Source organism: Homo sapiens, chromosome 4 (assembly GCF_000001405.40).
Source record: "Homo sapiens chromosome 4, GRCh38.p14 Primary Assembly".
NCBI classification, from domain to species: domain Eukaryota; kingdom Metazoa; phylum Chordata; class Mammalia; order Primates; family Hominidae; genus Homo; species Homo sapiens.
The window spans coordinates 38,744,122-38,765,698 of NC_000004.12; the positions used below are offsets into that span (position 1 = coordinate 38,744,122).

Consider the following 21,577-nt stretch of genomic DNA (forward strand, 5'->3'; position numbering starts at 1 on the left):
AGATTTTGAGAGCAGCCAGTCCAGACTGCAGCAAGGGGAGAGAGAGCTCCAGGAAGGATATCTTCCAAAAAAGGGTTTACGCTGGCAGAACATATGGAGAGGAGATTTCCATTTCTGAAGCAGGGTTTGGGATGATTTCAGTAGAGGTAAGGAGTCTCCTCCTATCCGTGGGGATATGTTCCAAGACCCCCAGTGGATGCCTGAAGCCACAGATAGTCTGAACCCTACATATACTATGTTTCTTCCTATATGTACAGACCTGTGATAAAATTTAATTAGGCACAGTACTCTTGGGGCCATTATTAAGTAAAATAAGCGTTACTTGAACACAAGCACAGCGATAACTGCAACAGTTGATCTGATAACCAAGATGGCTACTAAGCAACCAATGGGCAGGGAGCACAGACCTTGTGGATAATTCTTTTTTTTTTTTTTTTTTTTTTTGAGACAGAGTCTTGCTCTGTCGCCCAGGTTGGAGTGCAGTGGCGTGATCTTGACTCACTGCAACCTCTGCCTCCTAGGTTCGAGCTATTCTCCTGTCTCAGCCTCCTGGGACTATAGGGATGCGCCACCACGCCTGGCTAATTTTTGTATTTTTAGTTGAAACGGGGTTTCACCAAGTTGATCAGGCTGGTCTCGAACTCCTGACCTCAAGGGATCCACCCGCCTCAGCTTCCCAAAGTGTTGGGATCTCAAGGGTGCGTGAGCCACCACGCCCGGCCTAAACTTTTTATTTCTTAAATTTTCCACTTAATATTTTTGGGGTTGAATATGTAGTAACTGAAGCCACAGAAAGTGAAACCATGGATAAGGGGGATTGTCGTACATAGAAAACTAAGCAAAAAAGAAAAAAATGAGATGATAACCTCCAGTGAAAACAAATAATTGAAAAAGAAAGAAAATATAATAATGTTTTATGTGGCTCAGCTATAGATATTTTTAAAATCATAGTTATGTAAACACTAAATATTAATCTTAATTTATGATAGAGATATATTGTCAGATGACAGGAGGAGGTGTTCAGGGAAAGATGTGTAAATGGTGTAACAAAACTGAATCATAATTATTTTATAATAAAAAGACAAGAGATAATAACAAAAACTGAAAAGTCAATATAACAACAGTAGTGCCAGGCACTGTTAAAAGTGCTTATTTTTAATGCATTAATTCCTTTTGTTTTATTTATTTATTTATTTATTTATTTATTTATTTATTTGAGGCACAGTCTCGCTCTGTCACCCAGGCTGGAGTGAAGTGGTCCAATCTCAGCTCGCTGCAACTTCTGCCTCCCAGGTTCAAGCAATTCTCTGCCTCAGCCTCCTGAGTAGCTGAGATTACAGGTATGCACCACCATGCCCAGTTAATTTTTGTATTTTTAGTAGAGACAGGGATTCACCATGTTGGCCAGGCTGGTCTCAAACTCCTGACCTCAGGTGATCCACCCGCCTCGGCCTCCCAAAGTGCTGGGATTACAGGCATGAGCCACCGCACCCAGACTGAATTAATTCCTTTTAATGCTCACACTAACCTTATGAAGTTTAAAAACCCATTTAATGGATGAGAATATGAAAAATAGTGATATAAGCATATAATTTAGAAATATGGGGGCAAACTCCAGAAGCAACAGCTATAAGAAACAAAAGTAATTGCCTCCATGGAGAGGAAATTGGATGGAAAAGGGCATGTAGAGGTCTGCTGGTTTTCAATAGAAACCTTGGTTAGGCGCAGAGGCTTTCATCTGCAATCCCAGCACTTTGGGAGGCTGAAGTGAATGGAATGCTTGAGCCTAAGAGCTCAAGAGTAGCCTGGGCAATATAATGACCTCATCTCTACAAAAAATACAAAAATTAGCCAGCATGGCGGTGTATACCTATAGTCCTAGCTACTTGGGAGACTGAAGTGGGAGGATCACTTGAGCCTGGGCAATACAGGCTGCAGTGAACCATGATCATACCACTGCACTCCAGCCTGAGTTACGCAGTGAGACTGTCTAAAAAAAAAAAAAAAGACGAAACCTTATGAAACCATTTTTTTGTTTTGTTTTGTTTTGTTTTGAGACAAAGTCTCACTCTGCTGCCCAGGCCAGAGTGCAGTGGCATGTCTCGGCTCACTGCAACCCTGCCTATCAGGTTCAAGCCGTTCTCTTGCCTCAGCTTCCCAAGTAGCTGGGACTACAGGCGCACGCCACCACATCTGGCTAATTTTTGTACTTTTAGTAGAGACAGGGTTTCACTATGTTGTCCAGGCTAGTCTCAAACTCCTGACTCAGATGATCCACCTGCCTTGGCCTCCCAAAGTGCTGGGATTACAGGCTGAGCCACTATGCTTGGCCTGAAACCATTTGACTTGTTAAACTTTGTACATATAAAACTTTGATAAAACTAAAGAATCAATTAAAAGACATCAATTCAATAATTTATTAATCAATCAGTGATAATGGTTTGGCTCTTTGGCCCCACCCAAATCTCATGTTGAATTGTAATCCCTAGTGTTGGAGGTGGGGCCTGGTAGGAGGTGACTGGATTATGGGGGAATTGGTCTCTAATGGCTTAGCACCATCTCCCTAGTGGTTTCTCACGATGGAGTTCTCTCAAGATCTGGTTGTCTAAAAGTGTGTGGCACCTTCCCCTTCTCTCTCTCTCTTTCTCTCTCCTGCCACCATGTGAAGATGTGCTTGCTTCACCTTAGCCCTTCTGCCATGATTGTAAGCTTCCTAAGCCTCCCCAGCAATGCCTCCTCTACAGCCTGTGGAACTGTGAGTCAATTAAACCTCTTCTTTTCATAAATTACCCAGTCTCAGGTAGTTCTTTATAGCAGTGTGAGAACAGACTAATACAGAAAATTGGTTTCAGATAAATGGGGCATTCCCATAAAGATAACTGAAAATGTAGAAGTGACTTTGGAACTGGGTAATGGGCAGAGACTGGAAGAGTTTCGAGGGCTTTGGAAAAAGTCAGGAAGATGAGGGAAAGTTTGAAACTTCCTAGAGACTTGTTGAATGGTTTTGACCAAAATGCTGATAGTGATATGGACAGAGATGGCCAGGTTCATGAGGTCTCACTTAGAGATGAGGAACTTACTGAGAACTGCAGTAAATGTCATTCTGCTATGCTTTAGCAAAAAGACTGGTGGCATTGTGCCCCTGCTCTAGGGAATCTGTTGAATTTTGAACTTGAGAAAGAGGATTTAGGGTATCTGGCAGAAGAAATTCCTAAGCAGCAGCAGAGCATAAAACTTTGGAAAATTTGCAGCCTGGCCATATAGTAAAAAAGAAAAACCCATTTTCTGAGGAGGAATTCAAACCTGCTGCAGTAAAGATAAGCCAAATGTTAATAGCCAAGACAATATAAAAATGCCTCCAAGGTATTTTAGAGACAGAGGGCTGGAGGACTAAGAGGGAAAAATGGTTTCGTGGGCCAGGCCTAGGGCCCCCCACTCTGTTCTGTGCAGCCCCAGGACATGGCACCCTGCATCACAGCTGCTCCAGCTCCACCCTTGGCATAAAGGGCCTCAGATATGCTTCAGGCCTCTGCTTCAGAGGGTGAAAGCCATAAGAAGCTTTGGCACCTTCCACATGATGTTAAGCCTGTGGGTGTGCAGAGTGCAACAGTTGAGGCTTGGGAACCTCCACCTAGATTTCAGAGGATGTATGAAAATGCCTGGATTTCCAGGCAGAAGTCTTCTGCAGGGGTGGAGCCCTCATGGGGAATCTCCACTAGGGCAATGTGGAGGGAAAATGTGGAATTGGAGCCCCCACACAGAGTCTCCACTGGAGCACTGCCTTGTGGAGCTGTGAGAAGAGGGCCACCATCCTTCAGACTCCAGAATGGTAAATCCACCAACAGCTTGCACTGTGTGCCCAGAAAAACTTCAGGCACTCAATGCCAACCCATGAAAGCAGCCACAGGGGCAGTACCCTTCAGAGCCACAGAGGCAGAGCTGCCCAAGGCCTTGAGAGCCTACCTCTTGCATCAGCATGCCCTGGATGCGAGACATGGAATCAAAGGTAACTATTTTGGGGCTTTAAGATTTAATGACTGTCCGCTAGGTTCAGACTTGCATGGGGCCCGTAGCCCCTTTGTTTTGCCCAATTTCTCCCTTTTGGAAAGGGAGCATTTACTAAATGTTTGTACCCTCATTGTACCTTGGAAGTAACTGACTTGTTTTTTATTTTACAGGCTGATAGGCAGAAGTGACGTGCCTTGTGTCAGATGAGACTTTGGACTTGGACTTTTGAGTTAATGCTGGAATGAGTTAAGACTTTGGGGGACCATTGGGAAGGCATGATTGTGTTTTAAAATGTGAGAAGGACATGAGATTTGGGAAGGGGCAGTGGTAGAACGATTTGGTTTGGCTTTGTGTCCCCACCCAAATCTCACGTTGAGTTGTAATCCCTAGTGTTGGAGGTGGGGCGTGGTGGGAAGTGATTGGATCATGGGGTGATTTCTAGTGGTTTAGCATCATTCCCCTAGTGCTGTCTTATGATAGAATTCTCACAAGATCTGGTTGCTTAAAAGTGTATGACACTTTCCCCTTCTCTCTCTCTTTCTCTCTTTCTCTCTCTCCTGCCACCATGTGAAGACATGCTTGCTTCCCCTTTGTCCTTCTGCCATGATTGTGAGTTTCCTGAGGCCTCCCCAACCATGCATCCTGCACAGCTTGTGGAACTGTGAGTCAATTAAACCTCTTTTCTTCATAAATTACCCAGTCTCAGTTAGTTCCTTATAGCAGTGTGAGAACGAACTAATACAATCAATAAATACATATTCACAACAAACCATTTTTAATTAACAAAAAACTATGCTTCTTGTAATCATTTCTATGTGAAAAACTCACAGAAAGCAGGCCTTGAACATTCCTCTAGTCAGCCTAGGCTTCTGGTGATGACTTTCCCTGGCCTGCAGGTTCCCAGTTCAACCAAACTGCCATCAATTTCCGCCCATGGAGGCTGGAGGAGTTCTGTGGCACAACTTGAGCACCACTCTTCCTCCAAGATGTTTAGCAAGTGTGTGCACATAAATCAGATTAAAGACTCAGCCTAAATCAAAAACATGAAGAATCATCCTTACAAATGCTTTAAAAACCATGAAAGCCCTGAACAATCACCTTTCATTCAAACACCCGCTGAGAACTATGTGGTCATTTGCTATATTTTCTGAGAAGAAATCAAATAAACAAATAGATATAATAATATTATAACATCTAGTTTTAATTAAAACACAAAATTAAACATAACATTTACTTTGGTCAGTTTTAAGAATGATAATTCCACTGATACTTTTTGGAAAACACTTGCTTATTAATGCTGGAGAGAGAAAAACCAAGAATAATGAATGCTTAGCTCATTATTCAAACTACCCTGGAGTCCTTGTTTTCATCTCGTCCTAAACCATTCACATTTCAGGCTGACAGTTTTTCCACTGTCACTCAAGGCGAAAACAGACGACTCCTTAAATTATGTTAGAAATAAATTAGCTCCCAGATAACACACACTCCATGTAAGAAAGAAAAGAAAGAAAGAATAAGTCCCGAGGTAAATTAACTCCTGGTGTACATAATGAAACTTTACCCTCAAGCTCCAATGCAGTGATACAAATACCAAAAATTCTGCCAATGACTGCACAATCTGTTTATTTGTGAGAAGGTGGAGGAGAGAAAAAGAAGAGCACCAGGTCCTTAGACAAATAAGACCATATTGAAATGACCCCTCTTAAAAATGGACTTTATTTTTTAAAGCAGTTTTAGGTTCACAGCAAAATTGAGTAGAAAAAAAATTGATGAGAAAGTACAGAGAGTTTCCATATTTCCCCTGTCCCCACCCGCCACACGCACAGCCTGTCCCACTGTCAACATCACCCACCAGAGTGGGACATGTGTTGCAGTTGATGAATCTACATTGACACATCATCGTCACCCAAATATTACAGGTTTTAACAAGTGTATGACAACATGTATTCACTATTACAGTGTCGTATAGAATAGTTTCACTGCCCTAAAAATCCCCTGTGCGCCAACTCTTCCTGTCCTCCCTAGCTAGCACCTGGCAACCACTGACATTTTCGCTGCCTCCATAGTTTTGCTTTTTTCAGAATGTCATATAGTTGGAATCACACAGTGTGCAGCCTTTTCAGATTGGCTTCTTTCACTCAGTAATATGCATTTAAGTTTCCTCCATGTCTTTTCACGGCTTAATAGGACGCTGACTTTTAAAAGAATCATTTCTACTGTAGTATTGGATATTTATAAATATAAATATTTATGCCTTAAAACTTTAGAAAAACACAGTACCCTTCCACTGATATGCTAGGATACCTCTTATCTTTTCTACTCCCGAGGTGGGTTCAGGAATTTGAGAGAGCCCATGGCCAATCGTTCATTAATGCATTCAGTGTCTGTCATCCACCATTGTTGCAGTTATTATGGATTCAAATAACCCCAATGCTTAGTGGTGTACTCCATTTATTATGCTCAGAGACTCAACTGTGTGGGTTAAGACTTGGCCATGGCACACCAAGGATACCCCGTCTCTGCTCTGCAATGTCTGAGGATTCAGCTGGAAGACTTGAGAACTGGAGGATGGGATCAACTGAAGGCTCATTAATTCACTCATCTATCCTGGTGGGTGAAGCTGGCTGTTGGCTGGGGGCATCTTTCACCCTCCACATGAGCTAGTTGAGGCTTCCTCATAACCCAGTGGCTGGTTTCAAGGGTGAACATCCCTAGGGAGAGAGCTGCAGGCAGAAGCCTAATTGCTTTTTATAACATAGCCTTGGAAGTCAAGCAATCTGTAGCATTCCAATTATCAAGACAGTCACGGAGTCAGCCCTTCCCCAATCCTGAGTCTCTGGAGAAGACGAATAGATTCTGCCTCATGATGGGAAATGGAAAGTTTGTGGAAAAACATGTGAAACTGGAAATACTGCTGTTTCTATTTTTGGAAAACAGTCACCTCTGTAGGGCAAGGACTTTGCCAGGTCTGGGGATTCATAGTGAAAAGCCATGGTTTCTGATCTCAAGACAAGAGAGAGGATCCATAGAGTAGGTTAACAAGCAACAACTCTAATGATTTTAACTTCTAGACTAGTGAATAACTGAAGCATTTTAGAAAACAGGAAAAGCCTCATTGATATGGATAGGAGACAGGGAAATACTGGGTAGAAGAGGGTGGTTCCCTGGCAAAGGCCCCACCCTGAAGTCCAGAGACCCTCGGCCCTAAATGGAAACAGGCATTTCTGTTTTTGAATGCAAAATTTGCCTTTTGGCCCGCCATGCCCCCCTATCCTGTACCCATATAAACCCCAAACCCCCAGGTTCCAGAAGCAGATGGGCAGACAAGGAGACAAGCAGAGGAATGTCAAAATGCTGCGGCAGAAAGAGAGAAGAGGAGGAATGTCTCAACACTAAGAGTTTAGCCCGGGGCGGTTCAGCTGCCGGAAGGCCAAACTCCAGGAGAAGCCCATCTTCCTACTCCGTCCTCCCTTCAGGTTCTCCATCCATCCTGCTGAGAGCCACCTCCGCCATTCAGTAAGACCCCCACATTTATCCTTCAAGTGCATGTGTGACCCAGTTCTTCCAGGATGCTGGACAAGAGCTTGGGATACATAAAGCTGTCACACTGGCCCTCTGCCCTTGCTCGCTAACACTCAAGCCATTCGCAGACGGCTAAAAGAGCACATTGTAACACGTGCCCACTTGGACTCCTGCACCTGCCCATCTGCATGCTTTCCATCCTGTAAGGGGTTTGAGTGGTGTCAGCAATCTAACAGACAAGCCACACCCTTGTTTCACGTCCTGTGAGAGGGGTCAGGGAACTCTTCTGTTTCATCATTACCCAACTTTGGAACTCAAGAAAGGACTCACAGGGAAATTCTTGCAGAATCTCGTGGAAAATCTCACATGTATTTGTGAAAATACAATGTGGATCTGTGAGATCCCACTTCAACACAGGCCACGGGGCCACCTTCTGCACCCACATGGGTTGTTTTAAGTCTTCCTTAGTCTCCTTGAGAATAACATGATGCTATGATGTTGGCAGGAATCTTCCACACCTTCCAAAACATGACAATATGGGTCAAGCCCGTGCAGAGACTGTGGCTCCTGCTTTGGGAGTCACCTGGAATTGTTGAGAGATTAGCAAATCCCAGAACCAGGTTTGTTAGAATTAACTGCTCAACCAGATTGTATTGAAAATGGTCTGAAGTCAAAGACGACAGACGCAAACGGGCTAAATTGCTCAGTTAATTCTTCCATTTCTCTTCCTCCTAGTTGTTCTAGCTTCAGGGAGGACTCAGGAGAGTACTGTTTGAAAACCACTGATCTAGTTTACACTTTCATTTTACAGAGAGGAAACTGAGAGCCACAGAGATTCAAGTGACTCATCCAAGATGACCCAAACCCTGGGGTTTGTTATTGTTTTTCACACTATGCAAAGCACTAAAAAACATTCGTTTGAAACAGGTGAACAAAAGTCTAATTTGTAGTGAGGTCTAGGGGAATGACTGTCCAGTCAATTCCTCAATTCATGAAGGAGCATTTGGGACGCCACAGAGGAACATACACAGGTATCCCTCCTCCTACCCGACACCATTCAGGAAGAGCGGTTACCCCTCCAATGCACTGAAGCAGATTCATTTCCCTCAGGACTGTGGGAGGCGACTGAGGCTGAGTGAATGATACAGCCTTTTAATTTGTTTTTAATTGTCGTGTCCTGGTAACCCTTCCAAAGACCCTTCACGGAGAGTAGTTTTATTTTTCCACTTATTAACCGCATTCACTAGACTGGAAAAAGAATTCCCTATCTCCCAAGAACTCTCCCTTTCATTCTTGTAATTCCTTTTTTTTTTTTTTTTTTTTTAGCACCAGGAAAGTAATGTGTGTAAAACTAGAGCCAAGTATATTGTGGTTTCAAATACAAGCCTGTTTGGAGCAGAAGCCCGTGGGATTGCTGCGTTTCAGCCTCAGGGGATGGCCCGCTGATGGCCTCGGCCTGTGAAAGGGAGGGGCTTGAATGGCCCTTTGATTCAGCCCAAATCTGGGGGTGGAGGGTGGGGAAGGGGCAGGCCTGTTATTTGACACTTTCTGTTGGGCTTGGCCCAGGCCTCACTCCTTATGCAGGCCTCCCTGGAGCCTGCAAGCCCTCTCTGAGGACGCACTGACTTAGCAAGCGCTGAAATGCATAACATTCCTTGCTGCTTAGGAAGTAGACCAGCGATCCCCAGGGCTCGCGAATTCCCTGCGCTTTGAGAATGGTGCTCTTTATAACGTTCCCCATCCAAACACACACACAGACACGCTACACACACATACCCCAAACATACACACACACGCGCACACACACTCCACACACACCCAAACATACACGTACACACACACTCCACACACACACACCCCAATATACATACACATGCACACAATAGACACACACCCAAACATGCACACACACTCCACACACACACACCCAAATAAACACACACATGCGCAAACTACACACACATTACACACACACCCATACACACACATCCAAAAATACACACACACAAACTACACACATACTACACACACACACAAACATACACACACGTGCACACACACGCTCCACACACACATCCCAACATACACTCTACACACACGCCACACACACCCCATACACACAGGCACACAATCCACACATACACTCCACATACACAAACCCAAAACATACATACTCTACACACACACCACACACATCGCAAACAACCACACTCTACACACACACAAACATAGACACACCCGCACGCACACTACACACACGAGCCAAACATACATACTCACACACATTCTATACCACGGAACAACCACGCTCTATACACACACTATACACACACTTTATACACATACCCCAAAACACACTCTCCACACACCTACACACACCCCCAAACATACACACACTCCACACACACCTATACACATACTCTACACACATGCACTCCACAGACACAGACTCCCAAATATAAATATACACACACACCCATACACATACATGCACACACACTACACACACCCCAAACATACATACTCCACACACACATTCTACACACACACTCCCCACACACGCTTCATACACACACACTCCACACACACACACCCCATACACACACACTCTACACACACACTCCACACACAAACCTCCCGAAACATACACATATACACACACTCAATATGCACTCACACCTCCCACACACTATACACACACCCCACACACACCCAAACATACATATACACACACTCCATAACACACACACTCACACACACATATCTACACACACACCCCAAACATATACACACACCATGTTACACACTCCACACACTCCGCAAACACACACACACAGAACCTAAACATTCACATCCACACACACACTCCCAAACAACATCCACACACACACTACACACAAAAACACATTCACACATACAAATCACACACACATACACACAATACATGCATACACCCTCCCACACCCCATACATACACCCTCCACACACTCTCTACACACACACACACTCCACATACCTCACACATACACACCCCATACATACACACTCTGCACACACACACACACACATCCTACACACTTTACTATGGCATTAACCATTTGTGTGTTTGCTAGCTGATTTTAAGGTATTTATTATCGTTGTTTGCATGGAAAACCTGAGAATAGACAGGCATATTATCGGAATTAATAACAGGGCTTACCAAGAGTAAGAAGTAAATGCAGTACCACGAGTATAGCCCTGGATGCTGGAGAATGAGTTTGAATCCTGGCTTCACCACTTATGATGGAATCTACTTAAGTTCTCTGCACTTCTTTGGACTTCAGTTTCCTCACTATAAATAATTATAATAATAAGATCTCCCTCACTGGGTCATTGTGAGATTGAATGCATGTCATCCATGTAAAATGCCTAGAACAGTGCCTGACACATAGTAAGTTATATGAATGTCTGCTATTATGATAAGGTAGTATGATATTCTGCTATGGCTTTGAGATCAATATGCAAAAATTGGTAGTATTCTAAACACTGCAACAAATAGCGAAAATATATAATTTGTAAAAGATCACTTTTATATAACTTGTAATAGCATAAAAATAAGGTACCTAGGAATAAATCTAACAAATGAGGTGCATGATCTTTAAAAAGAAAATTATAAAATTTTATCAAATGTAATTAAAGAGACTGAAATAAATGGAGAACTATGTTCTTTATGAAAAATTTATAACCTTGAACACTTTTCTTCCTCTCATATTACTCTTTAATTCAAAGTAGTTCAAAACAAAATATCGATCGGTATTTTTAGTGTACGTTGTGGAATTTGACAAGTTTGATTTTAAATGAAGGCTAAATAGTAAATATTTGAGAAGCATGGGATCAGCACAGAGACTGACAAACAAAACAATGAAATGGAAATAGCATGTCCAGGAAGACTTTCCTGCATTTATAGAAACTTGATAGTTGGCAAAAGTGATATTACAGGTCAGTGGAAATAGGGTGAATTATTCAAAAATAATAATACTGGGGCAATTAATCAGCCATTAGCAAAAACTCAAAATTAGATCCTAGCTTCAGTCATACCCTGGACTAAAGATTTCAGTGTGAAAAACAAAACAGAGCTGAATATCTTCCTGGTGACCCTGGGTCAGAGAAGCATTTCTTAAACAAGATGGGAAAACACAAACCATAAAGGAAAAGACCGATAAATGTCACTATGTTAACATTAATTTTGTTAATGTTTTATTATTTTCCGGTTCACCAGGGTAGGCTATGGTCCCAGTTTTGTACTGTCTCTGCACAGTATCACCACACAGCTATGGCCTTTACATAGTGACTTTGCATCACCTGCCTGTAGGGTGGGCAGCATGCATCTCCACACAATTGAGTTTGAGTCTCACTGGGTGACTTGCTTTGGCCAACAGAATGTAGGACAACATGCATGATGCCCAACCCGATTTTTTTTTTTTTTTGAGACAGTCTCACTCTGTTGGGCAGGCTAGAGGGCAGTGGTGCGATCTCCACTCACTTCAATGTCCACCTCCCAGGTTCAAGCGATTATCATGCCTCAGCCTCCTGAGTAGCTGAGATTACAGGCATGCACCACTACGCCTGGCTAATTTTTGTATTTTTAGTAGAGATGGGGTTTCATCATGTTGGCCAGGCTGGTTTTGAACTCCTGACTTCAAGCGATCCACCCACCTCAGCCTCCCAACGTGCTGGGATTACAGGTGTGAGCCACCGCGCCCAGCCCCAACCTGAGATTTTACATGTGCTTGTGTGGTTTTCCTTGGCCTCTTCCATTTATCATGAGATGAGCATGCCCTGAGTAGCTGCTGTCTTTGAATGTGAAATATAGACAACAGACTTAAACCAGACCTGAAGTCTGAGGCAGAGCCACCCTGGTTGAACAATAGAACTGTGAATTAGAAAAATACAATTTTGTTGCTTAACTACTGAGATTTATCTGCAATACTATCCTAGTAATAACTGACTAGTACATTAACTTATTCAAAATAGGTTTTTTTTTTTTTTTGGAGAGGAAAGGACATCGGGGCTCATAAAATCAATAAGAGGGTAGAGGCTTCGAAATAGGCAGGAGCCAGGATATTTCTCGGGGATGGATTCCAGGACCACCAGCAAGTGTAAAAAGCAGGCTCTCATAAAGCCAGGGCACAACTGCTGGGATGAAATAGAATTATTTTCTGCTCCTTTGATCCTCTGGTCAAGATCCAAGTACTAGGAAGAGAGTATGTAATTGTCCTAGCTTGGACTGCCTCCACCCACGAACTAGACAGTACAGGTATCTGGGTCACTATCTATCAGGCAATATCCCCTGGGAAGAAAGAAGGCCTCGAAGGAAATGATGAGCCGGGCACGGTAGCTCACGCCTGTAATCTTAGCAATTTGGGAGGCCAAGGTGGGTGGATCACTTGAGGTCAGGAGTTCGAGACCAGCCTGGCCAACATGGTGAAATCCGTCTCTACTAAAAATACAAAAATTAGTCAGGTGTAGTGACGCACATCTGTAATCCCAGCACTTTGGAAGGTTGAGGCTGGCGGATCACTTGAGGTCAGGAGTTTGGGACCAGCCTGGCCAACATGGTGAAACCCCATCTCTACTAAAAATACAAAAATTAGCCAGACATGGTGGCACACGCCTGTAATCCCAGCTACTTGGGAGCCTTAGGCAGGAGAATCATTTGAACTCGTGAGACAGAGGCTGCAGTGAGCCGAGATCATGCCACTGCACTCCAGCCTGGGTGACAGAGTGAGACTCCGTCCCCACTGCCAAAAAAAAAAAAAAGGAAGTGGTGTACTTTTCAGAAGAAGAGATTGACATTGGGCAGAGCCAGAAACAAGAAATGGCCAAGACACATGCTGACCAATGTACTTTTACACTGAGGGTTCCCAGCTTGTGGGCTAAGAATACCTTGGAGAGCTTTGGAGCTGTTGCAAGAGACCCTAAGTCTATCTATGCCACAACTATGGTCTGAGGCTTGGTAGATAACATAATTTATATCCCTATACTACCCTTCCCTGAAGATATATAGACGCTATTGGATGTTATTGGCTTAATTCAATGCAAATTCATTTTCAAGAGTTACTAGATTCATAGTAATAGTATCTTCTTAGGGTAGACTTTCCTAACCAAAAAATACTACAAACAAAATGACTGCCACACGGGAATCTGCAAAATAGAGATCACTATTTTGATCTCACTAAATTGTTCTAAGGTTCAAATGACTAAGTACTTGGAGTACTTAGTGCTTGGGACACAGTAAATATGCAGTAAATACCAACCACTAGCCTTCTGATGATGCCATTTTGTCCCATGAGGGCCTGCAGGAGAGAACTCTGCCAGCATGTGCACTGACCTGGTCACCTCAGTAGCTATATTTCTCACAGTGAACTCACGCTCGGTCTTGAGAGAAGGCCCTCCAACTCTGTGGCTCACCGGCACTGTCTTCCTGTGTCTGGGTAGGACCTAAACATGCACTCCTGGTGACTTAACTCAGGTGCTGCTTCCCAAGGAAGGTCACCTTAGCCACTAGGTGGCCTCCCTCCAAGTCTGTTTGTTGGTTAGGAAAATCTACACTAAGAAGAAACTATTGCTATGAGTCTAGTAACTCTTGAAAATGAATTTGCATTGAATTAAATCTAATAACAGCCAATAACATCTATATATATTCAGGGAAGGCTAGTATAGAGATATAAATTATGTTATCTACCAAGCCTCAGACCACGATTGTGGCATAGATAGACTTAGGGCCTCTTGCAACAGCTCCAAAGCTCTCCCTCCAAGTCTTCTCTAAGGCCAGCATTCTTCTTGTCCTATGGGCAACACATAGTCTAGACAGAGGGTAAGGGACATCAACAGAGTAACAACAAGCAGGTTGGTTGGTATTCGATTTTGCTTTGGAGACGAAGATGGCTTTACCTTACAATAAGCAGTCAGGTAGAGCTGGGGGTCATTTTGAGGGGGAAAATAACCCAAACAGAACTGTGTTTTAGGAGAATTAACCTTCCTAGGGTGTATAGGTTGAAGAATGAAAAGGAGATACTGCCCATGGTCTCTTTTTCTCTCTAGTGTAGCTTTTTCAAGCTAGAAGAATAACTATAACAACTTTCTGAAGTCAGTTTCCTCATCTGCAACTTCCCCCACAATCTCCCATCCAAGACCAAGGTAGCCTGATCCCACTAATCATCAGAGACCAGATGAAATCAGGTGTGTTCAGGATTGTACGGTGTGCCATCTATAAAGCACGTGGGGTGTGTTTCTACACTGGGGGTTCCCAGCCTGTGGGCTAAGAATACCGTGGAGAGCTTTGGAGCTGTTGCAAGAGGCCCTAAGTCTATCTATGCCACAACCGTGGTCTGAGGCTTGGTAGATAACATAATTTATATCTCTATACTACTCTTCCCTGAATATATATAGATGTTATTGGCTGTTATTGGATTTAATTCAATGCAAATTCATTTTCAAGAATTACTAGATTCATAGCAATAGTTTCTTCTTAGTGTAGATTTTCCTAACCAACAAATAGTACAAACAAAATGACTGCCACACAGGAGTCTGTAAAATAGAGATCACTATTTTGATCTCACTAAATTGTTCTAAGGTTCAAATGACTAAGTACATGGAGGTGCTTAGAACAGTGCTTGGGACACAGTAAATATGCAGCAAATGCCAACCATTATCATAAAGCAATTCTCATTCCTGAAAGGTGGGGCTCACTCATCTAGATGATCTCTAAAGCCATGCTTTGTGCCTCTGAGCTTTAATGGCTTTCTACATTTTATGAAAAATCTTGTGATGGGGGCAGACATTCTTTGAGATCTGTTGCTGTTGCTGACGCAGAAAGTGCCTTAGCCTATGAGCCATTCTTCTAAGCTTGGATAGAAGGCGTCCTTGGAAGAGGGCCCATATCTCTTCAATTGACAGTGTGGCCCAGAGAGGCCGCAGTCGGAGACCTCTGGGCACTAACACAAGGGCGGTCTGTTTCCTCCAGGGAGGAATGAACTGACTTCTGTTGTGTCCCACGCAGCTCGTCCACTGCAAAGCTCAGCGAAAAATACTAAAGTGACCTCAAGGTGGCACTGCAACCCAAAATTTCACACAAGGGCACACAACCTCAGTTCATTTTGGGGGGTTTTTGTGTTTTTTTGTTAATTTTTGTTTTTTGATCATATCAATTATTTTTATTATCTTTAGAAATAGAAACACAAAACTTAAGAATTTTGTAGAGAATTTGAGTGACTTTAAGAGTGTGTCCTCAGAGTCCAGTTTAAAAAAACAATTCTTCCGACTTTAAAGTCCTGGAGTTGCAGGAAGTATCCTGTCTTCAGGTGAGGGTCTCAGAGGTGATTTATTCCTGAAGTTGGGTATTTGCAAGCTTTTCAAAGCTTTCAGAGCTATCATCATCAGAGGGCCACAAGATGGAGAAGGCACTCCTTGAAATATCCTTTATTTTAGGAAAATAATTTTTCAAAAATTTCAATAGGTTTTGGTGGAACAGATTGTGTTTGGTTACACGCATAAGTTCTTTAGCGGTCGTTTCTGAAATTTTGGTGCCCTCATAACCCAACCAGTGTACGCTGTACCCAATTTGTAGTCTATTATCCCTCACCCCCCCGCTCCCACCCTTTCCCCCGAGGTCCCAAAGTCCATTGTATCATTCTTATGCCTTTGTGGCCTCATAGCTTAGCTCCCATTTATAAGTGAGAACATGCGATGTTTGATTGTCCATTCCTGAGTCACTTCACCTAGAATAATGGTCTCCAATTCCATTCAGGTTGCTGCAAATGCCATTATTTTATTCCTTTTTAAGGCCTTCAGTTTATTTTTTTTAATGATATATGATAGTTTACATATTTATGGAGTACATGTGCTATTTTGTTATATGCATCAAATGTGTAATGATCAAGTCAGGGTATTTGGAGTCTCCATTACCCTGAGTATCATTTCTACGTGCTGGGAACATTTCATGTTCTCTCTTCTAGCTACTTTGAAATATACAATACATTGTTGTTAACTAGAGTCACCCTACTCTGCTATTGAACACCTCCCCCCGTGCAAAAAAAAAAAAAGGATTGTATTGCTCAGTTCATTTTTAAAGCCTTCTTTCTCAAACTTTACTGTGCATAAAATCCAGCCAGGATCTTGCTAAAATGCAGCTTCTGAATCAGTAGGCCTGGGATGGAGCCTGAAATTCTGCATGTCTGACGTCTCTCAGGTGATGCGAACGCTGCAGCCTGGTTTTAGCTGGAATATAGCTTTCAGCAATTCTCTGCTGTTGTTTCTAATTAGGGACAGGAGTGAGAATTAAGAAGACCAGAAAAATGGCCCCTTTCTGTGCCTTTAGGAGGTGATGAAGAGCAAGAAAAAAGAAAAATCAGAAACAACCAAAGAAAACCAAGGCAGCTTTCTCTTTCCATTCCAATCCCATGAGATTTGCGGTTCTGCCCTCGGAGACGACTGATTCAAGGTAGCAGGTGCCCCGGTCAAGATGAGTTGTGGAGAAGACCAGACCTTCCCAGTAGGTTCTTTCCCTGACACAAGGGCTCCTTCCAGATTTTGTTACAGAATTTACAACACATGAAGTGACCCGATGCTTCAGCAAGTGCTTCATGGCTTCCCCCAAAACCAAAGTCAGGGTTCCTGAGAGAGTGCCTAGAAAGTCGGGGTGGAGGTCGGGTGCGGTGACTCACGCCTGTAATCCCAGCACTTTGGGAGGCCGAGGCGGGCGGATTACGAGGTCAGAAGATCAAGACCATCCTGACCAACATGGTGAAACCTGTCTCTACTAAAAATAAAAAATTAGGTGGGTGTGGTGGTGCATGCCTGTAGTCCCAGCTACTTGGGAAGCTGAGGCAGGAGAATCGCTTGAACACGGGAGGCGGAGGTTGCAGTGAGCCGAGATCGTGCCACTGCACTCCAGCCTGGCGACAGAGTGAGACTCCATCTCAAAAAAAAAAAAAAAGTCTGGGTGGAAAGAACCAAGCTTAGAATTGAAGAAGTGTGGAGTCACAGGAAGAGGCGCTCTGCCGGCAGCGTTACTCTTGCATACACAATGAGATTTATTTTAATCCCATGAACTTCTGCTTTCCACAGTGAGAAGGCCCCGTGGGAAGCAACCAATGAAGTGAAACTGCTTCTACCCCAGTGCTGGGCGTCTGTAGGTATGGACAGGCCCTTGCTTTAAGGTAGATGCCCGCCGCAAAACGGGAAGTTGCATTATGGCTGCCTCCCGCTGGGGTTCTTTTTCTCTTGGTATTTTAATTTTTGTTTTTTGGATTTGGTTTGGTTTTTCCTCTTTAAGGATCTTCATATCATTTTTGTCGTTTTTGTTCTTCAGTCTGAAGCTGAGTTTTGAGACAATAAAAAATTCAAAGCCAAATTCGATCTTTTCAGTTTTTAATCTATTGTAATGATTCAGATTAAAGTTTCTCCAGCCACCTGCTTTTAAGGGTGAAGGAGGATGTTGGCTCTATGTTTTCTCCGAGGCTCTGACAATGGAGTTCATTTCCCACCTCTCCCAGGCGGCCTTAGGAGACAAACTTTCCCATTTAATTTGTAGAAAACATGGATCAGGGTGTCCCAGCTGTACCCAAGCCGGGAGTAACAGTTTGGCTTTTATTTGGGTAAATTTTACTCGTCTCCGTCTGTGTGCATGAATTGATATGCATAGGTGGGTGGAAGGAGGATTATTTGGGGGTTGGAAAGGAGAGGTGGGACAGAATAGGGACAGTGGAAAGGACGAGGTGCTGTGTCACCCTTCTTGCCCCCTTGGGCTGGTTTGGAACCCCCGCAGAGGGAGGAGTGAGAGCTGAAGAAATGGATTTCGTGAGCAACTCGGTGAGATGGTGGATCCCAGCATTGCAGCACTGGCATGCTGAGAGGTTGACACACAATTTTGAGGAGAGAAGTACCGAATCTACTGCTAGCTCCGTGGAACTCGGCATGGCTCCTCGTCACAAGGATAGTTGCATTTGGGATTACTGGGAGAAAGCACCCTTAGCATGGTCGTTAGCACCATTGAGAAAGCACCTTCATTCAGCAATGTCAGTAGTGAGAGACTCTTGCAAGGACCTGCAAAGGGCCCAGGGGTAGCTGCCGCGAGCTAGAGGGGAGTAGACTACGGCAGCATGGGGAGAGGAGCTGACAGGAAGCTGTCCGGCACCTGCGAGAATCTCAGGTTCGAATGGAAATATTCGTGTGCACGTTTGCAGGAGGGTGAGAGGCCCCGCTTCAGCAGGTGGGAGCCAGAATAAGAACTGGGGTCACTGATGCTGTTGTGCCTTCTTTGTAGCCTCAGGCTGGTAAGGATTGGTAGCATTTGGATTACACACGTCATGATAAGAATTGCTCTTCCACAACGAGATACCTCCATCCAAGAATAGGGTCTAGCAGGAACAAGTATGTCCATGTTACTACACATAGGAAAGAAACTAATTCTTCCAGTCACCAAGCTCTGGCTCTACCAGTGTAGCAGACCATCTGTGAAAGCAGACTCTGGGCTGGGCACGGTGGCTCAAGCCTGTAATCCCAGTACTTTGGGAGGCCGAGGCAGTTGGATCACCTGAGGTCAGGAGTTCAAGACCAGCCTGGCCAACATGGTGAAAACCCGTCTCTACTAAAAATACAAAAATTAGCCAGGTGTGGTGGTGCACACCTGTAATCCCAGCTACTCGGGAGGCTGAGGCAGGAAATCACTTGAACCCAGGAGGCAGAGGTTGCAGTGAGCAAGACAGCACCACTGCACTCCAGCCTGGGCGACAGAGCGAGACTACGTCTCAAAAAAAGAAAAAAAAAAAACACAGGCTCTGTCATCACAATCTTGCATTTCTGTCACTTACTAGCCATGAAACCTTGACTTCTGGTTGGGGACTTTATCTGTTAATAGGAATAATGATAACATTTAACCCTTGGATCTATGTGATTTAACAAGTATAACATCACGACAGACTTAGAACAGTGGCTGGCACATTTGAAATCTCAAAAAGGGCTGAGCATGGTGGCTCATGTCTGTATTCCCAATGCTTTGGGAAGCTGAGGTGAGAGGATCAATTGAGCCCAGGAGTTCAAGATCAGCCTGGGGAATATAATGAGATCCTGTCTCTACAAAAAAATTAAGATGTGAGCAGAGCATGGTGGCACGTGCCTGTTGTCCCAGCTACGCGGGAGGCTGAAGTGGGAGGAATGCTTTAGCCCAGGAGGTGGAGGCTGAAGTGAGCCATGGTCATGCCACTGCAACCCAACCTGGGCAACAGAGTGAGACCTTGTCTCTAAATAAATAAATAAATAATAAATCCTCAAGAAAGGTTAGTGCCTTGTACTGTTAAGTATACAAGGCCAGGATGTTAATGACAGCATCATGGAAACATTTTTCCTGAAATAAAAGAGCCAGAAAGAGGTTGAGGGCTCAGGGGTAGTGAGTCCAGGAATCAAAGACATCGATCCTAATGGAATATCTGAGCTAACCTTGCACAGATTCTTTCAGCAGCTTTCTCTGGCCTGTTTTTTCCCAGGGCCAAAGGTACTGCTGCCAGGAAAGACACTTAAAGTCCTTAGGTCTAGAAGGTTCCTGGGCATGACCAAAGATCTAACTTTCTTCACAGGGAGAACACAGTCTAATAATGTGGTGCCTTAACCCATCATGGCCTAAAATAATAAAGGCCTCATCTCCTTTCCATTTTTAATAAACACCACAGGAGGAACATCCAATAAACTTAATATGGTGGTATTAGAATGTGCCTGTTCCAATCTGTCAGAGCAACCCATCTTACCACTGAATTTCACCACATCATCCATTAGTACTCAAGATAAAAACTGTCCTGTTGCCAATGACTTCCTCCGAAACAGAAACAAATCATTGTGCAGCTAAAAAATCAGAAGCAATACACATTCTGGCTGCATAAGCCAAGATATTCTTCTTCTCAGGACTGTGTAGCACAGGGCCCCTGTCTATAAAATAATTTGATTAAAAAATATGTTTTGGCAGGGAGCGGTAGCTCACGCCTGTGATCCCAGCACTTTGGGAGGCCGAGGTGGGCAGATCACTGGAGGTCAGGAGTTTGAGACTAACCTGGCCAACATGGAGAAACCCCATCTCTACTAAAAATACAAAAATTGTTCCAGTGTGATGGCGTGCACCTGTAATCCCAGCTACTTGGGAGGCTGAGGCAGGAGAATCGCTTGAACCTGGGAGGCAGAGTTTGCAGTGAGCCAAGATTGTGCCATTGTACTCGAGACTGGGTGATAGAGCAAGACTCCATCTCAAAAAAAAATTGTTTTGTGGCCCGGCGCAGTGGCTCACGCCTGTAATCTCAGCACTTTAGGAGGCCTAGGCAGGCAGATTGCTTGGGCCCAGTTTAAGACCAGCCTGGGTCACATGGCAAAAACCCTGTCTCTACCAAAAAAGATACAAAAATTAGCTAGGAGCAGTGGTACATGCCTGTAGTCCCAGCTACTCAGGAGGCCAAGGTAGGAGGATTACTGAAGCCTTGGAAGTGGAGGTTACAGTGAGCTGTGATTGCACCACTACACTCCTGCACTCCAGGTTAGAATGAAATCCTGTCTCGAAAAAAAAAAAAGATTTTGAAATGGATGGACCCATGTGAGAGGTTCAGTGAGTTATTAACGAGAATTGGTACAGAAGAGTCATTTGCGTATTGTTTATTTTCCAGCTGCTACCTGTGAGGATTCTTTGCAGCATCCAAGCAACACCTCTTCCTGTTCAAACCCAGGAGCCATCTCTTCACGCATTTTATTGTCCAGTGTGCTGTTTTTGGTTAACTGTGTCTCTCACCAAGAAGAAAACAGCAGCAGTGTTGTAATTAATCACAAGGCAGCTCTTCAGAACCTGCTCACATTAAATGATGTAGGTCTTCTTGCCTCTGCAGTTCCCTGACAGTATGTTTGTAATGCTGGTTGAATTATTACTCATGCCGCCACATCATCCATCCACCCTAGCTTCCCATGACTCTCAAAGGTTGTTACTGTGCTTCATGAATGCAAGCCTTCCCCAGATGAGGCAGGGAAATGTGAGCCC

The 21,577-nt window shown here is 43.8% G+C and overlaps 1 long non-coding RNA gene and 1 pseudogene across 2 annotated transcripts, besides 6 other annotated features; one reads left to right on the forward strand and one right to left on the reverse strand.

The window, feature by feature from the left end:
• Positions 1-8,930, forward strand: LOC105374413 (uncharacterized). 2 transcript variants are annotated; one of them, XR_925231.2, is made up of 6 exons: positions 1-146; positions 1,220-1,340; positions 4,179-4,253; positions 4,582-4,669; positions 6,473-6,618; positions 7,311-8,930. It is a non-coding gene; the product is annotated as an uncharacterized LOC105374413 (long non-coding RNA). The 2 variants fall into 2 exon arrangements; XR_925228.3 differs by lacking the exons at positions 1-146; positions 1,220-1,340; positions 4,179-4,253 and having other exon boundaries at positions 4,631-4,669; positions 7,311-8,401; positions 8,857-8,930.
• Positions 13,227-13,356: an enhancer, noted in NCBI's record as "active region_21442". NCBI's record gives its function as "activates an Ori minimal core promoter by ATAC-STARR-seq in GM12878 lymphoblastoid cells {active_cell/tissue: GM12878}" and the evidence as "EXISTENCE:reporter gene assay evidence [ECO:0000049][PMID:35858748]".
• Positions 14,670-14,771, reverse strand: RNA5SP158 (RNA, 5S ribosomal pseudogene 158; annotated as a pseudogene).
• Positions 16,857-17,006: an enhancer, noted in NCBI's record as "active region_21443". NCBI's record gives its function as "activates an Ori minimal core promoter by ATAC-STARR-seq in GM12878 lymphoblastoid cells {active_cell/tissue: GM12878}" and the evidence as "EXISTENCE:reporter gene assay evidence [ECO:0000049][PMID:35858748]".
• Positions 17,027-17,196: an enhancer, noted in NCBI's record as "active region_21444". NCBI's record gives its function as "activates an Ori minimal core promoter by ATAC-STARR-seq in GM12878 lymphoblastoid cells {active_cell/tissue: GM12878}" and the evidence as "EXISTENCE:reporter gene assay evidence [ECO:0000049][PMID:35858748]".
• Positions 17,247-17,296: an enhancer, noted in NCBI's record as "active region_21445". NCBI's record gives its function as "activates an Ori minimal core promoter by ATAC-STARR-seq in GM12878 lymphoblastoid cells {active_cell/tissue: GM12878}" and the evidence as "EXISTENCE:reporter gene assay evidence [ECO:0000049][PMID:35858748]".
• Positions 17,397-17,706: an enhancer, noted in NCBI's record as "active region_21446". NCBI's record gives its function as "activates an Ori minimal core promoter by ATAC-STARR-seq in GM12878 lymphoblastoid cells {active_cell/tissue: GM12878}" and the evidence as "EXISTENCE:reporter gene assay evidence [ECO:0000049][PMID:35858748]".
• Positions 20,343-20,412: an enhancer, noted in NCBI's record as "active region_21447". NCBI's record gives its function as "activates an Ori minimal core promoter by ATAC-STARR-seq in GM12878 lymphoblastoid cells {active_cell/tissue: GM12878}" and the evidence as "EXISTENCE:reporter gene assay evidence [ECO:0000049][PMID:35858748]".